The sequence below is a fragment of the Homo sapiens genome, chromosome 5, assembly GCF_000001405.40.
Source record: "Homo sapiens chromosome 5, GRCh38.p14 Primary Assembly".
NCBI classification, from domain to species: domain Eukaryota; kingdom Metazoa; phylum Chordata; class Mammalia; order Primates; family Hominidae; genus Homo; species Homo sapiens.
In genome coordinates, this window is record NC_000005.10 from 113470196 (window position 1) to 113488723 (window position 18528).

The 18528-nt window shown below is 40.0% G+C and overlaps 1 protein-coding gene across 1 annotated transcript in view, besides 1 other annotated feature; it reads right to left on the minus strand.

Annotated features, from left to right (window-relative positions):
- The window catches only part of MCC (MCC regulator of Wnt signaling pathway), a 466348-nt gene extending 448090 nt beyond the window's left edge, over window positions 1-18258 (minus strand). Inside the window, exon 1 of the mRNA NM_001085377.2 lies at window positions 18050-18258. Within this exon, the coding sequence (NP_001078846.2) occupies window positions 18050-18219 (170 nt within the window). The 5' untranslated portion in view covers window positions 18220-18258. The remainder of the gene's footprint in view (window positions 1-18049) is intronic.
- Window positions 18157-18451: an enhancer, noted in NCBI's record as "tiled region #13961; HepG2 Activating DNase unmatched - State 4:PromP". NCBI's record gives its function as "activates a minimal TATA promoter and a strong SV40 promoter by Sharpr-MPRA in HepG2 cells {active_cell/tissue: HepG2}" and the evidence as "EXISTENCE:reporter gene assay evidence [ECO:0000049][PMID:27701403]".

An 18528-nucleotide genomic window follows, 5' to 3' on the forward strand; every position in this document is an offset into this window, starting at 1 on the left:
TGTTATGTGTGAATTTGATCCTGTCTTTATGATGTTAGCTGGTTATTTTGCTCGTTAGTTGATGCAGTTTCTTCCTAGCCTTGATCGTCTTTACAATTTGGCATGTTTTTGCAGTGGCTGGTACCAGTTGTTCCTTTCCATGTTTAGTGCTTCCTTCAGGAGCTCTTTTAGGGCAGGCCTGGTGGTGACAAAATCTCTCAGCATTTGCTTGTCTGTAAAGTATTTTATTTCTCCTTCACTTATGAAGCTTAGTTTGGCTGGATATGAAATTCTGGGTTGAAAATTCTTTTCTTTAAGAATGTTGAATATTCGTCCCCACTCTCTTCTGGCTTGTAGAGTTTCTGCCGAGAGATCAGCTGTTAGTCTGATGGGCTTCCCTTTGTGGGTAACCTGACCTTTCCCTCTGGCTGCCCTTAACATTTTTTCCTTCATTTCAACTCTGGTGAATCTGAGAATTATGTGTCTTGGAGTTGCTCTTCTCGAGGAGTATCTTTGTGGCATTCTCTGTATTTCCTGAATTTGAATATTGGCCTGCCTTGCTAGATTGGGGAAGTTCTCCTGGATAATATCCTGCAGTGTTTTCCAACTTGGTTCCATTCTCCCTGTCACTTTCAGGTATACCAATCAGATGTAGATTTGGTCTTTTCACATAGTCCCATATTTCTTGGAGACTTTGTTCGTTTCTTTTTATTCTTTTTTCTCTAAACTTCTCTTCTCACTTCATTTCATTCATTTCGTCTTCCATCACTGATACCCTTTCTTCCAGTTGATTGCATCGGCTACTAAGGCTTCTGCCTTCGTCACGTAGCTCTCGTGCCTTGGTTTTCAGCTCCATCAGGTCTTTTAAGGACTTCTCTGCGTTGGTTATTCTAGTTATCCATTCATCTAATTTTTTTTCAAAGCTTTTAACTTCTTTGCCATTGGTTCGAATTTCCTCCTGTAACTCAGTCATTTGATCGTCTGAAGCCTTCTCTCAACTCGTCAAAGTCATTCTCTGTCCAGCTTTGTTCCGCTGCTGGTGAGGAGCTGTGTTCCTTTGGAGGAGGAGAGGCACTCTGATTTTTAGAGTTTCCAGTTTTTCTGCTCTGTTTTTTTCCCATCTTTGTCATTTTATCTACCTTTGGTCTTTGATGATGGTGACGTACAGATGGGTTTTTGGTGTGGATGTCCTGTTTGTTAGTTTTCCTTCTAACAGACAGGACCCTCAACTGCAGGTCTGTTGGAGTTTTCTAGAGGTCCACTCCAGACCCTTTCTGCCTGGGTATCGGCAGCGGTGGCTGCAGAGCAGCGGATACTGGTGAACCACAGATGCTGCTGCCTGATCGTTCCTCTGGAAGTTTTGTCTCAGAGGAGTACCTGGCTGTGTGAGGTGTCAGTCCGCCTACTGGGGGGTGCCTCCCAGTTAGGCTACTCGGGGGTCAGGGACCCACTTGAGGAGGCAGTCTGCCCTTTCTCAGATCTCAAGCTGCATGCTGGGAGAACCACTACTCTCTTCAAAGCTGTCAGAGAGGGACATTTAAGTCTGCAGAGGTTACTGCTGTCTTTTTGTTTGTCTGTGCCCTGCCCCCAGAGAGGCAGGCAGGCCTCCTTGAGCTGTGGTGGGCTCCACCCAGTTCGAGCTTCCCAGCCGCTTTGTTTTCCTAATCAAACAACTAACTCAGTAATGGCGGGCGCCCCTCCCCCAGCCTTGCTGCCGCCTTGCAGTTTGATCTCAGACTGCTGTGGTAGCAATGAGTGAGACTCCGTGGGCGTGGGACCCTTCGAGCCAGGTGAGGGATATAATCTCCTGGTGTGCCGTTTTTTAAGCCCGTTGGAAAAGTGCAGTATTAGGGTCGGAGTGACCCGATTTTCCAGGTGCCGTCTGTCACCCCTTTCTTTGACTAGGAGAGGGAGTTCCCTGATCCCTTGCATTTCCCGGGTGAGGCAATGCCTTGCTCTGCTTTGGCTCACGCACGGTGCGCTGCACTCACTGTCCTGCACCTACTGTCTGGCACTCCCCAGTGAGATGAACCCGGTACCTCAGTTGGAAATGCAGAAATCACCCGTCTTCTGTGTCGCTCACGCTGGGAGCTGTAGACCGGAGCTGTTCCTATTCGGCCATCTTCTGTGTGGCCATTCTGAGCATGGTGCATACTTCTTGCAACAAACTTACCCCTGAATAGAATAATATTCACCAATAAAGCCTAGTTGATTGTTTATTCTCCTTTTCCTGAACCTTCCTAAGCAGTTTGCATTTTTATTTGTTTATGCATGTGTATACTTATTGCATAAGACAAAATACTCCTTAAGGTCACAAGTTATAATATATTCAACTTTGTATTCCTCTGTGCCTACAGTGTACATTCAATGAATGTTTAACAATAATAATTAATATTCTTAAATTTGTTCTGCTCTGACAGTTATCAAATTCTGTAAGTATGGAAGATTTAGGAAGTAATCTGTAAAGTAACTATTGATTGTGAATAGCAAATTATTCCTTTTAGAGAAGCTATAATTTATATTAACAAATAAGGAGCTTTAACTAATTTACAAGATCAAAATGCAATATTTTTTGTGATTTCCTCATCCATATTATTTCACAGATGCTAATTCTGGAAGCATGTAAGCATATGGTTAGAGACAGATTAACATGGTACAGGAGTTTTCCTCTATTTTAGGAATGAGAAAAATCAAAATGCTATTTGGGAGTGTGAAGCACCGTATTTTGTCTTAAGGTAGTATTAAACTATTGGTTCATTCATTCAATGTTGCTTTAGCATCTAATCAACGCATGATGTCAGGTAGTGTGAGAGATACAAAGACATTGTTGCATTCATGATGCTTACAGTCTAGCAGGCGAAAGAAGCAGAATAGAAATTACCATAATACAAGTTAGTATTGGGTAAGTTCCTTTATTTTTATTATATTATTACTTCTAAATGTTAGTTTACTGTGACTACCCAGTAACTAACCATAGAGGGATAGCTTATGAAAAGTAGACTACAAAATATTAATTTAAGAATCTCTTTCTAACTTTTATGTACCTTGGAGTAGTCAAGATAAAACTGGCTGGGTGCAGGGGCTCACACCTGTAATCCGAGCACTTTGGGAGGACAAGACAGGAGGATCACTTGAGTACAGGAGTTTGAGACGAGCCTGGGAAACACAGTAAGACCCCATCTCTAGAAAAAATGTTTAAATTAGCTGGGCATGGGGGTGGATGCCTCTAGTTCCAGCTACTTGGAAGCCTGATGCGGGAGGGTTACTTGAGCCCAGGAGTGTGAGGCTGCTGTGGGCTATAATCACACTACTATGCTCTATCCTGGATGACAGAGCAAGACCCTTTCTCAAAACAAAAACAAAAACAAAAACAAAACAAAACAAAACAAAATACTGTGTGGGCAACTGTCCATCAACTTTTCAGTAACAACTATAATACAAAATTATGAGTAGTTTTTAGGTTTACTCCATCTCATAACCTTCACTTAGGAATTGACAAAAAATCCTAACCAAGAATTCAATGCTTTTGAAAATACTATTACTGCATGGAATTAAAGGAACTGGATAATAACAACTACAAATAAAGAGAAACTATGGATTTATCAGGGTTAGTTCATAAACAACCAGACAGCTGCCCAATAGAGACTAACTTAAACAGCATGCCTTTCCATAAGAATATGCTACCACTAAAATCCTGAGCTGGTACCTACAATCCATAAAAATCAAAGTATTTCAGGCCTGAAAAGCTGACAGAAAAAATCCCAGAAGAAGAAAATGATACTGATTAGAAAGTGATGTGAGACTTATCTAAAGTTACACGACCAGTTAGTAGCAGGGGCACTGAATTTTGGTCACACTGATCTTTTAGATTAGGTAAAATGCACCTAATATGTATTTTCAAAATATAAACTCCTCAGCTAAATTGGACAAAAAGTTGATAAACTTTTTTCTAAAAATTATCAAGCATTTGAAGTGTTTCTATTAAGAGTTGGGCACTGAGGTTACAAAGGCAAAAGAAAAGAAAGCATGGTCTCTGCCTTGAGTATGGGGAGAAAGGAAATGAAAACTATGAGAATATCCAGTGTGAGCAGTGCTGGTGTAGGAGTATGTGCAAGGTACTAGGGCATCAGGAAAGTGTCCAGAGGGGAGGAGCTATATGGAAACAGCCTAGAAAAAAATGAGAGGGTGCTCACCAGACAGGTAAGGGCGAGAGAAAGGCACTTACTGGGAGCTGCATGTGCACAGCACCGATGCTTGGAGCAGCCTGGGACGCTGCAGTGAAAGAGGAATGCAGCAAGAGATAATGCTGGAGGGGGAGTGGAGTCACCGTGCCAGACAGGCAGGGCCTTAAATTAAATGCCCCTAGAAGGAGTCTGAACTTATCTGTAAGGAACAGGCAACTGTTGAAGGATTTTAGGAAGAGCTGCCTGCTCAGTTCTGTGTTATAGAAAAATGACTTCAGTGTCAGTGCCGAGAGTCCTGGAGGGGGCAAGCCTGCAGATTAGAATACTAGGATAATAATCCTGGTTAGAGATGAAGTAGCTTAGGAAACCAAAAAGGGAGAGAGGGATAAGCCGCACTGATTTCATCCTTTGCCTATAATAAATATAAAATTGCCAACACATTTTCAGAAGAGGAAACACCTCCCCAACAATTTTATCAGTGACTTTCATCCTGTTTATTACTGTGAAGTAAAGTCAGCTTAAGACTACATCACATAAGATTGAACAAATAAAGCCCTCTCTTGAAAGCATCAACCTCTAATGTAGAATATTTTGTTAAGCTTCTCATTTCTCAGAAAGAAGTTCTGAAATTTTATAAATAAATGCAGAATTCTGATATTTAAAGGAAATGCAGCCACATCGTTATGAAAATGCTTCCCTTCACCCCATCTACTTTCTCACTTCCTTCATTTATACTACAAATTTGGACCTGTGGATGTTTTAAATAATAGACAACAGGTGTACTAAACAATGTCACTTGCCATAATATTGAATAGATGCCCAATTAACACCAACATTAAGTATAAATGCTCTTTCAAGTATCTGGTATATCACTGATGTGAATGTTTTAAATAATTAAACACAAAGCTCATCTATCTAGAATTTTCCAAGCAACAGTTTCACAAGTAAATATTCAACTGAGAGTTACATCAGACAAACATTTAATGCTTATTAGTCAATCTAGAAACTTGTTCAATTTACTTTTTCACTTTATTAGGTGACAGGGATCCAAATGTTTGAAAAAGTAATAGGTCCAAAGAGTCCTTCTACCTACCCATCTTTTTTTCTCCCATCAGTTAGAGTCATCGATAATCAATGGCATAAATTTAGTAATGACTCATTTACATATTTAAACTGGCATTTTGAAATGACAATGAGAAGCTGACAGTTAACTGTTCTCTAAGGAAATGCCCTTTCTCTCCATATGGCTTCCACTCTGAGACTAAGAATTAAAGAGATTTTTCAATTTATGGAACAAGAGAGAGTCTCTCCAGCTGAGACTCCCATGTCATTTCATTTAGAATGCAAATCTCAACATTTTAAATGTCATTCCTACTGATGCTAAGAAGGCAGTTATAAAATGAAAAATCACCCTCACCATAGAGCTTTGGTAAATTAAAAAGTAAAGGACTTTAAGACTTTAAGGGAAAATAAGTTTTCTCATGTTAGCTAGGCCGCATGTATGGTGGGAAATACCCTCAAGAAGCTATGTTACCTTAGCTCCTCACCTTAAAATGAAAATACTAATTCCTGTTGCAAAGATTACATAAAATAATGCATGGTCTGATTGTAAACTATAAAGGTTTGTGTAAACATATGCCATTATTACTTTAGACTTCCACTGATATGTTGACTCAAAATAAAAAGACTGTAAAATGATCCTGTGGGCCAGAGGAAAAATCAAAAGTACCCTGAAAAACATAGTTACTAAAAATGCACGTGAACGAATTAGTTTACAGATTCAACACAATCCTTATAAAACTCTCAGCTGTGTTTTTTGAAAAGATCGAAAACTAATCCTAAAATTCACATGAATACTCAAGGGACCAACCACAGACTAAAAACCTTGGAAAAGAAGAACAAAGTTGGACAATTCGTACTTCCCGATTTCAAAACTTAGAACACAGCAACAGTAATCAAGACAGTATGGTACTAGTATAAGGATAGGCACACAGAGCAATGGAAAGGACTTGAGAGTTCAGAAATATATTCTTACATTTATGGTCTATTGATTTTTGACAAGGGTGTCAAGAAAATGGGAAAACAGACGAGTGCTTTCAACAAATGGCTGTTGACAACTGAATATCCACATTCAAAAGAATGAAGCTGGATCCTTTCTTCACACCATACACAAAAATTAACTCAAGTGGATCATAGACTTAAATATAAGAGCTAAAACTATAAAACTCTTAGAAGAAAACATTTAAATTATTTCTGACCTTTGGTTAGACAAAGACTTTTTAGCGACAATATCAAAACACAAGCAATAAAAGGCCACAGAATGTACAATATCCATAGCAGGCAAGTCTAGAGAGGCAGCAAACTAGTGGTTGCCTAGGGCCGGAGTGGTTAGGGGAAATGAGGATGACTGCTAATGGGTACAGGGTTTCTTTTTGAGGTGATGAAACTATTCTAAAATTGGTTGCAATGATTGTTACACGACTCTGAATATATAAGACCATTGAATTGTATGCTTTAAATGGGTTAATTATGTAGTACGTCAATTATATCTCAATAAAGCTAGTTAAATATAACTTAAAGAAATGTATGTGAAAAGCCGCATTGAGTAGTGGTCATGACCTTCATTTGTTAAACATGAGTTTGAATTCAGGTCCTACTAACTGTGGAATCTTGAGCAAATAACAATAATTCTGAGCCTGTTTTTCTCATCTTCAAATTCTATAATAAAAATTCCTTTCTCAAAGGAATGAGTATTAAATGAGATCATGCAGACTAAGTGCTTACTTGGCACAGCCTAGTATACAGTAAGCACTCAATAATATTAGCTATTAAAAGAAGAGATATGTGGGCCTAGACTGTAGGTAGTTGCTAAAAACAAAACAAGACAAAAACCAGTAAGTTGGTTGAGGCATTTCTGTAAATGTTATTTTTTAAATTATATATAAACTTAATAACAAACAGGGTGCTTCCAAATAGGCAGGCTCACTTTGAAATACTCAGTACAAAGCGAAAGAAGGTCATAATCATAGGTCACAGAGGCTGGATTTACCGTTTCACCTAAAACAGCTAGAAATCCAAATACATGAAATAATGATTTTCAGACATCATATAACAGCATAAGAATACAATCCATGAGTAAAGGGCAACAAGCAAGGTGAGCCTACATTTACACCAACTTGCTGCCTGGAGGCAGTCTATATGCTGCAGAACAGGAGGGAAAATCCAAACTGCACCCAGTGGTCTCACCGAGTTGAGGAGAGAGAGAACAAAATTCAGGGAAGCCAAGGCAGATTAAATTTGTGGTGCAGAGGGAAGAGGAAGGAATGCTTTAGATAAAAGGAGCTCCAGAGATGTGAAGAGTAGGCTAATTTAAATTAGCCCTAGTCTAAAGACTCCTCTAGTCATGCCAAACAAAGAAAGCTTAAAGGCAAGCTTCCAAAAGAGCCAAACTCAACTGCAAGCCACAACAAAGTATAGGAAAACAATACAGAAACCAGTACCGAACAAGTTTATATATCTGGCATCCAATTAAATGTAACTAGGCTTGCAAAGAAGCAGAAAACAGTTCCATAACCATGAGAAAAATCAATCAATAAACCCAGAAATGACAGAGATGATGGAATTGGCAGATAAGAATTTTAAAAGTTATAAATATGCTCCATGTGTTAAAATGGAACTTCTAGAGGTGAAAAATACAGTACGAATACAATATGAAAAATGCAATACCACTCCACTTTTTGGTGATGACACTAAGACAGAGGCAAGGTTTGGTGCCAACTCACATAGTGGCAGAGCCTAGAGGGAACCCAACTTTCCTGGCTCTGATCCAGGGCTCTTTCCACTATGCTGCAGAGAAATAACACAATCTGACAGACACTTTAGTTGGTTACTGGCTGCTGTATGCCTGGGCCTTAGGTGGAATGTAGAGGCAGCAAGAGTAGAAGTAGGAGTCTGTTATAATAGACATGGTGATAAACAAGTGATGGTTTGGACCTCAGTGGTAGAAAGGAAGATGGTAAGAAACGGTTGGATATTAGGTATATTTTAAAGAGTTGGTAGGGTTGCCAATGGGTTGGATGTAGCATTTGAAAAGAGGAAAATGCAGGAAGACTTCAAGTTTCTGACTTGAACCTCTAGCAAGGGAGTAGCCATTTACTGTAATGGAGAAAACTAAGGGAGGAGCAGCCTGGGGAGAGGAGTCAGGAATTCGGTTCTGTATGTGATAAGCTTGGGATGCCATCAGACATGGAAGTCAAGTATGCAGTTACTGCATATAGCTGTCTGAAATTCAAGGGAGACATTGAGGTCAGAGATATGGAAAGAGTAAAGATGGTGGACAAATGACTAAAATTTGGAAGCTCTGGGCTTTAAGGGTCTTTAGATAAGAGGAATCTGTGATCCAATAATGTGGCATCATGTTCCTCAGGCAAAGCAGTCTCTTGCCAGTCTCACAGAGAGTCCTTCTTATCATTATGGCTTCTCACACTATTTGTCAGGATTATCCACTTTCTTTCCCTGTGTTTCTGCATTATCTATCTCGCATAGCTACTGTGAGCATTACATAAGCGATATGAATATCTGGTAAGCACTCCATACGTGTTAGCTGTATCTTATCTGAAACAGATAATCCTGTTTCTCAAAAGTAATATGGTTTCACTTGTATGTGAATGTTCATAATGCCTTTACTTACAATAGCCTCAAACTAGATACAACCTAAATGTCCATCAATTAATGAACGGATAAACAAATTGTGGCACCTTCATACAATGAAATGTTAGTAATAAAAAGGAACTACTGATATATGTAAAAGTATGCATGAATTTCACATGCATGACATTGCTCAAAAAATGTCAGATGCAAAAATAATACATGTTGTATGATTCCATTTATGTGAAATACTAAAAGACAAATCTAATCTGCAGTGACAGAAAGCAGATCAGTGGTTGCAGGGGACTGGGTCTGGGGTAGCAATTGACTAGGAAGGGGCACAGGAAACTTGTGTTATGAAAATCAATCCTGATTTTGGTGGTGGTTAAAGGGGTATATAAATTTGTCAAAACTCATTGAAATATACACTTTAAATGGGTTCCTTTTATTGCATGTCAGTAAATCAGAGAATACTGCATATCGGTTAGCTCTTCTCAAAAGTAATATGGCTTCACTTGTATGTGAATGTTCATAACGCCAATGTGTCCTCTTCCAAATTGTCTCCCATGTTACTTTACAATCCTAAGTAGGGCTCTACTTTTTATCTTGAGCTACCTCAAGGGGAGTTCTGTAGGGTGTTTTTTTAATCTAATTAAAATATGAAATAGGATCATATTTTTGACTTATCTTGGTAGGCTGATTGCTTTATGGCTGGTCTTAGGATTTTAATGGTTTTTCTTTTTTCTTCTTTATTCTCCCACTTAGGTTCAGATTATATATTTCTTAGTGACACTATGGTTTCATTGTAGCTTTGAGGCTTTCAGTGCTATTCAGTTTCTTTAATGCTTGGCTTTGGTTATGCTGCCATTTCAATCTCACAAAGGCTCTCTTTCAAAAATTGTGTTCCAGAGTTACTGTTTCCAAGAAGAATAAATATATTGCAGGTTTTATGCTTATGTCATGAGAATCTACTTTGCTATGAGACAAGGAATCTAGAGGTCATAGTCTTTCTGTTCCATTTACCTTTGGTTCAAGTGACTCTTTCAACCCTTTAAAAGTTAGATGACTTTTCTCTCTTGCCTCTCCAAGTTCAATTTCTGCTAACACTGAATAAGGGAGAATAGTAGATTATGTTTAAGATGTATATAAATTTGTAGTTCTTTAGATAAGCAAACTACCATATTCTCCATTAAATCTGACAACCTTTTGTTGTTTATAGTTGTTGCTGCTGTTGCTTAAGGACGACTGAGCAAAGCGCCTGCAAGCAATTTTAGGTCATACATTTCACTGATAACTTCAGTTTTGACTAATTCTCTAATAACACAGTACATGGAACAATGAAGGTGTTTATTCTAGCATTATATAAAATACCATATTTCAAAACTTCTAAGATGCACAGTTTAACATTGTGAAATCTGAATGTTTCTTAAAATTTATTGGCCTTGTGCCAACACAGTTACCATTGCTTGTTCTGTGTGAATCAGGTTGTTATTCCTTCTAAAATGGACTAAATAACTGCAAACCTCGATGCTTCCTCAAGAATAAAAGTCGTGGTTATTGTCTGAGAAACTTCCATCAACGTCTTCCATTAAGATCAGGAGTGTCAACATCAATACTTGCAGAAAGGGTGTAGGCATCTTAGAAGAAAATACTATAGAAAATAGTTTGCTGCATCCCTAAATATTTTGATGTCACAGAGGTTGATGTGAAACACAACATCAGTACTCTAAATCAAAAGGTGATTTGGAAGATTTGGATTTCATTATTTTTATTTATTTTATTTTATTTTCAGACAGTGTCTTGCTCTGTTGCCCAGGCTGAGTGCAGTGGGTATTCACAACTCACTGCAGCCTTGACCTCCCAGGCTCAACTGATCCTCCCTCCTCAGCCTCCTGAGTAGCCAGTACTACAGGTGCAAGCTGCCATGCCTGGGTAATTTTTGTAATTTTTTTGTAGAGACAGGGTTTCTCCATGTTGCTCAGGCTCGTCTTGAACTCCTAGGTTCAAGAGATCCACCTGCCTCAGCCTCCCAAAGTGCAGGGATTACAGGCGTGAGCCATTGCAGCTGGCCAAGACTTGGATTTTAAATATGAAGAAGTTTTAGAATTATTTTAAACAATTTGAATATGAAGAAGTTTTAGAATTATTTTAAACAATTTGATTAGCCTATTTCCCTTTTTATATATGTACAAGAGTGCAATATGATAAAAATCTATAACTCAACAATTTTAAGGGAGTCCTTTCAGGAAGAATTTTAAAATTCTAAGTGGTAAGAATTATTTTGCCATAGTTTAATTGGTACATAAAGTAATGGTTTGTCTTAGTCTTTGGCAACTTAGATTTAATGAAATTCTAAAAGAAATAATTAGAAACAATCTAAATAGTCAACAACAGAACAATAATTAAATTAATTAAATAAATAATGAGATTACAACAAATATAAATCTTTTTGGCCAGGCGCGGTGGCTCACACCTGTAATCCCAGCACTTTGAGAGGCTGAGGCGGGTGGATCACAAGGTCAGGAGTTCGAGACCAGCCTGGCCAACATGGTGAAACCCCGTCTCTACTAAAAATACAAAAAAATTAGCTGGGCGTGGTGGCGCACACCTGTAGTCCCAGCTACTCAGGAGGCTGAGGCAGAAGAATCGCTTGAACCCGGGAGGCGGAGATTGCAGTGAGCCGAGATTGTGCCACTTTACTCCAGCCTGGGTGACAGAGTGGGACTCCATCTCAAAAAAATAAAAAATAAAAAATAAATCTTTTTTTAACAGCTTTGTTGAGTTATATAATTCATATACCATAATGTTCACCCACTGTTTTTTACTATATTCACAGAGCTGTAAAACTATCACTACAACCAATGTTAGAACACTTTTGTCATTTCAAAAAAAGAAATCCTATACTCTTTAGCTCTCATTCATCTATTCTTCCCATTACCCACAAACCTGAGTAATCACTAATCCACTTTCTATCTCTATAGACATTTCACATAAATGAAATAATATAATATGTGGCCTTTTGTGACTGGCTTCTTTCACTTAGCATTAATGTTTTCAAGGTTCATCCTTGTTATAGCATGTATTAGTACCTCATTCCTTTTTATGGTTGAAAAATATTCCACTACATGGATACATCACATCTTGTTTATTCATTCATCAGATGATGAACATTTGGGTACATCTTTTGACTATTATAAACAATGTTGTTATGAACATTCATTTATGTTTTTGGGTGGACATATATTTTCAGTTCTCCTAGCTGTATATCTAGGAGTAGCATTGCTGGGGTCATACGCCAATTCTATGTTTATGTTTTAGAGGAATTGCTAGACTGTTTTCCAAAGTAGCTGCATCATTTCACATTGCTATCGGCAATATAGAAGGGTTCTGATTTCTTTACATCCTTGTCAACACTTATTATCTGACTTGTTGATTATAGTCTTCCTAGTGGGTGTAAAGTAGAATTCCCATGGTAGTTTTGATTTGCATTTCCCTAGTGGCTAATGATGTTGAGCATCTTTTCGTGTGCATATTGGCTATGTGTATGTCTTCCTTGGAGAAATGTCTATTCAGATCCTTTGTCCATTTTTACATTGGGTTATTTGTCTTTTTATTATTAAGTATTCTTTATAAATTCTAAATACTAGTCCTTTATCAGATGTACAATTTGTAAATATTTTCTCCCATTCTGCAGGTTGTCTTTCACTCTTTTGATAGTGTTTTTTGAAGCATAAACTTAAAAAATTTGCGGAAGCCTAATTTAACAATTTTTTCTTTTGTAGCTTGTGCTTTTGGTGTCACATATAAGAATCCATTGCCAAATCGAAGTTCACAAAGATTTAGCTCTATTTTTTCTTCTAAAAGTTTAATAGTTATAGTTCTTACATTTAAGTTTTTGATACATTTTGAGGTAATTTTTGTAGATGGTGTGAGGAAAGTGTCCAACTTCATTCTTTTATATGTGACTATCCAGTTGTCCCCATATCATTTCTCAAAAAGACTATTTTTTCCCCCATTTTACCCTTGACCTTGGCATTCTTAATCTTGGTGCTTTCGTTGAAAATCAATTGACATGAATATGTAGGTTTATCCCTGGACTTTCAATTCTATTCCATTGACCTATTTGTGTATCGTTATGCTAGTACCATAGTGTCTTAATTACTGTTGCTTTGGAGCAAGTTTTGAAATTAGAAAGCATGAATCCTCCAACTTTGTTCTTTTTCAAGATTGTTTTGACTCTTCTGGGTCCTTTAAGTTTCCTCATGAATTTTAAGATCAGTTCATCAATTTCTGCAAAAAACAGCAGCTGGTATTCTGAGAAGGACTGCATTGATTCTGTAAATCAATTTGGGAAGTATTGCCATCTTAACAAAAAGTTTTCCTGTCCATGTACATGTGATTTTTTCCATTTATCCAATCATTTTTAATGTACCCATAGAGGAATGGCATGATGCAGATATATCACTGGGAAAATAGAAATAATATCCCTTGGTTATGGGATTAGAGATCATTTTGATCTTATTTTTGTATATTTCTATATGTTTCCAAATTTTCAACAACAAGAGTATCTTTTATATAACCCAAAAGAAGTTATTTTTAAAGAAAAAATATCTTTAATAAAATATACACATATCCTCAAAGACCTAAAGACAGAAATACCATTCAACCCAGCAGTCTCATTACTAGGTATATACTCAAAGGAATATAAATCGTTGTATTATAAAGACACATGCACCTGTATGTTCACTGCAGCACTGTTCACAATAGTAAAGACATGGACTCAACCTAAATGCCCACTGATGATAGACCAGACAAAGAAAGTGTGGTATGTATATGCCATGTGATACTACACAGTCATAAAAAAAAAACTAGATCGCGTCCTTTGCAAGGACATGGATGGGACTGGAGGCCATTACCCTTAGCAAACTAACACAAGAACAGAAAACCAAATATCACATGGTCTCACATATAAGCGGGAGCTAAATGGTGAGAACACATGGACACATAGAGGGGAACAACACGCACTGGGGCCTATCAGAGGGTGGAAGTTGGAAGGAGGGGGAGGATCAGGAAAAATAACTAATGGGTACTAGGCTTAGCACCCATAACTAGTCGGCACTAGGCTTAGTATCCATAACTATAGTGGGCACTAGGCTTAGTACCCATAACTAATGGGTACTAGGCATGGGTGATGAAATAATCTGTACAACAAACCCCCACGACACAAGTTTACCTATGGAAAAAATCTGCACATGTACCCTTGAATTTAAAATAAAAGTTAAAAATATACATATTTAAAATATTACATAAATATGGAAAATATCTGAAAATGAAAATGTTTGAAACATTTTCCAATATACATGAACATACCACTGTTTATTCTTGGTCACATTTTCATCAGAATTTGCTGATTGTGTGCTACATGGTAGATACTGTGCTAAGTACTGAGTACACTGTTTTTGAGAAAACAGATATGATTTCTGCCCTCAGGAAGCCTACATTTAGTGACAGAATGACAATAAACAGGCAAAGTAGCAAACAGAAATGGAATTATAAGTTGTAAAGGGCACTTTGAAAGAAAGCAATCAGTACTATGATGGACAATAACGGCAGGATAAAGCAAATCTATTTTGATATAGTGGTCAGGGAAGCTCTCTCTAAGGCATCAACATTTGAGCTGAGACTTGGGAACTCAAAAATGTTAAGCACTGGCTTTCAATATTTGTCAAAGGTATGTTCAACATAAGCAGTTTCTTATATTGAACGGTAAAAACAAAAAGCTTTAAAATTCCAAAGGGAAAATAATTTCAACAAATAGAGTAACCTCCACCACCTTCTATAATATGGTATGCAGGGTCCAAAAAATCCAGTACCATAAAATATGTGGTAAAGTCATTGTAAGGTTAATGAAATGCACTGAAAGAGCTTACGGTGGTCTCACTCTGCTGCCCAAATCCAGCGGGGTCCCAGCCGCAGTTTGGAGCTACTTGATCATAGCTTTCTGTTCTACCTTAACTATTGATGGGGATGATTCTGGGTCCCTTTTATAGGCTAAAGTTCCTTGGCAGAAGCAGCAATTCCAAGAATCTAGTTAGCTGATGCCTTTTTTGTCAGCCTGATAGGAAGACTGGGCCAAGAGAATATTGAAAGCACAAAGCACCACCCCTTACCTCCCTGACATTTCCCCTCACGGCCCAGTTTCTCTTCCACTTATCCTTCCCCCACACTTAAGATTTCCAGCCTACTCCTGTTTAGAATGAGGGTTCAGCGGAGGACCAGAGCAAATATACTTGAATGTGGATTATCATGGGATGGGGGGTTTATTATAGGTATTAACCGCTACTTGCCCACCCAATATCTATTTCCTGCTCTTAGTAACAGAACCCAGATTTTGTTTAGGAGGTAATGTGCCTAGTTGAATTATATGCTTCCTCGGACTCTACTGAAGTAGGCATGGTTAAGTGATGTAGTTTGACCAATAAGATGTCAATTAAGGGATTTGGGAAAGCTCTGCTTTAATGATACAGGCACAACTTATTTCCACTTCCTTTTACATCTTCTTCCCTAGAATTTGGGGATGAAGAGGGAGACAGGGCAATCACCTTTGGACTATGAGATAACCATGAGGATGAATGCTTTATGTGAAAAATGGTGTTGGAGAAAGGTAGAAGGTAGCTGGGGACTGACACCACCGCAGAGCTGCTGCCCCAACCTAGATAGCCTACCTCCAGATTTCTACTAGGTGACAAAGCCAACCCTTACTTGACTATGGTTAGGTTACTGTGATGACATATAGTCATCTGAAATTCTAACAGATACAGCTGTCTACCAGGAACATAAATTTAACGTCTTTAGATGAATCCAAAGTTTTTAAGGTTTTAATGTTAAAAAGTCCAACTCTCATGTCTGATAGAACAGGAATGCACAACCCTCCAAACCACATCACCCACTACAGAGTGGTAAGTACAGGTCATTAAATGAAAGCAGCACAGAAAAGTGGCTTCAGAGAGGGAATCATTTAATGCCCCTTACCTTCATTAGCCCCATTCCCCAAGTCTTACCACATAAACGTAAATTCCAGGTAAAACTGTGCTTACCAGGTAAACACACTTCCAGACAAGTTCCTTGTTGCCCTAGATTGCCATCCCTAAACTTCTCCTACATGGCAATTCTGCCACAGCATAATTTTCAGGGCAGCTCCACCCACAGTTAAAGTTATGATTTAGGGTTCATTACTACACATACCTTGAAACTTTTAAGCAGACACATTAAAGTAATGCAGCTCAAGGAATGTTAACAACTTTTTCCACTTTTGCCCCAGCCAGTTTCTACTCTAATCCAAAACGGCTTCTTTATCACCACCCACTTTACTCAAATTACGCTTACAGAATTCATTATCCTCCCGGGTAGAATCACCGAAAATAATGTGAGCATTTATATAGAAAGTGTAGTTCAGATAAAGCAATATATTAATAGGCCAAATTAGAAAAGGATAGCACGCTGCTAGTTTTCTGTATGCACTCTTGCCCGTGTGAAATTAAACTTTTTTGCATCCATGCGGGGAGCGGTGGCTCAGGCCTGTAATCTCAGCGCTTCCTAAGGCCGAGGCGGGCGGATCACTTAGGGTCAGGAATTCGAGACCAGCCTGGCCAAATTGTGAAGCCCCTTCTCTACTAAAAATACGAAAATTAGCCGGGAGTGGTAGTGGGCACCTGTAATCCCAGCTACTCGGGAAGCTGAGGCAGGAGAATCTCTTGAACCAGGAGGCGGAGGTTGCAGTGAGCCAAGACCACGCCACTGTACTCCAGCCTGGGTGATAGAGCGAGATTCTGTCTAAAAAAAAAAAAAATTGTATCCAAAGTTGGAGTTTGCCTTTATTATTGCAAATGAGATAATAACCTTTCAAGTAGGAAAACAACAAAAAGGAAAACTATATAATGAAATTTCTTTTACTCCCAGAACCAAAATAACGAGACTTCCAGATAGAAATTTGCATGGAGTCAATCAGAATTACATATTATTTTCATTTCCGAACAGAATTACTCCATCAAGTTTTCTGATATCTTCCTAATGTTTCTCAGTAAAACTTTAGCAAAGTAATAAAAATTCACCTAAGAATGATCAAAATTGCGTTGAGTCCCAAATAAATAATTTTTTTTATTTTAAGGGAAAAATTCCGCACTTTGCTTTCTTTTTTTTTTTTTTAGGTAGGCAGGGACAATCAGGAAGCAGCCCCGGATTTTCAGAAACGATCTTTAGCATCACCAAGACATAGACTAAAGAAACATGTAATGCACAACTTAGGCTGCTCCTTCATCCAAGGCAATTCAAATTTCCACGGATACCAAGTCTTCAATGGCCGGTGTCAACCATTCAATAGAAGCATACCAGAAAATGTTGCGATTGCCTTCTTCACCACAAGAGTCTAAGTGACACAAATTTGGGCAGAAGTAATTATTTGGCCAAGCCGGGAGGCAGGAAGCTTAAATACCGCCTCTGTAGGAAGTGCGGGGGATCCGAAGCAAACACCCCAAAGTTTGTTTGTGAGTGGAGGCGCGGAGGCGCCCGGAGCCACGCCGAAGCTCACCTGGTCAGCGCACAGAGCCGGGTAGGAGTCGGGTCTAGCCCTAGTTTGCTCCTGAGCGCTTCGTTCCTCTCAGGCTACTGCGTTTAAATCAATACTGGGTGGCAAACGATACCCATTCTTTGGGCTCTGAAGTTTGGAATTCATGGGTTCTGCGGCACAAGAAAGTTTCTTCACAGGTTATTTCCCTGTCCGAGGCTGTCGCTTAGCTCATCTCCTCCCGGTGCGGCCCTGGGGTGTCCACCAAGCCGCCGGGCAGATCGCTGCCCCGTGCTGCGGCATCTTGATGCCCAGGACCCCGAGGCTGTGGGGCAGCCCCTCCTACCTGGGACAAGCGGCCAGAACTCCTTTTCCCACAGGGAAGAACACTCCAAGCCCCCGGAAGAGTGCGCATCCTAAGGAGATGTCTCCCAACGCCTAGACAAAGACAGCGCTGGGAAAAGTTGGACCAACTGGCACCCCCGCAAGGCGAACAGAGCAGTCCCCTCGGCCTTCGTGGCCGAGCCGGCTACGCGCTCTCGGAGTCGCGGCCAACTTTTCCCGCGAGCTTCTGAGCAACTTGCCGCAAGTTGGGGCGAGGGGGCAGAGCAGGGGTCAAGGGCGCGCGGAGGGACTGATCTCGCTCCTGTCGGTTTCCTCGTACCTCCCCGCGTACCTGCTGATGTATCCGTCCCCGTCGCCGTCGCACGTCTGGAAGAGGCGCCGCATCCTCTCCTCCTCGCCGGTGCTGGACGTGTCGCTGCTGCTGCTGCTGCTGCCGCTGCCGCCGCCGCCGCCGCCGCTGCTGGAGCTCCCCGCAGCCGCTGCCGCCGCGGCCGCCATCATGCGCCCGCTCCCTACTTGGGAGGAGGAGTACGCGCGACCGCAGCTGGAATCCGCGCGGCGCGCAAGCTGCCTGCAGCCCCGAACTTGCCTGACAACGGAGCATGCCCAGTGGCCGCCGGGGCGCTCCGGGCGAGGGATTCCACCTCTCCGGGTTTTGCCCGGACTGGGAAGATGGGCGCTCTGGAATCGCCCGAGGAGGCACCTCAGGGAAGAGGGAGGAGGGGAAGGTGGCTGGAAGAGTCAGGGAGCTAAGGGTGGCAACGGGAACACAAGAGGAGGCAGAATACACTGGAAGCCCCCGGGAAGGGT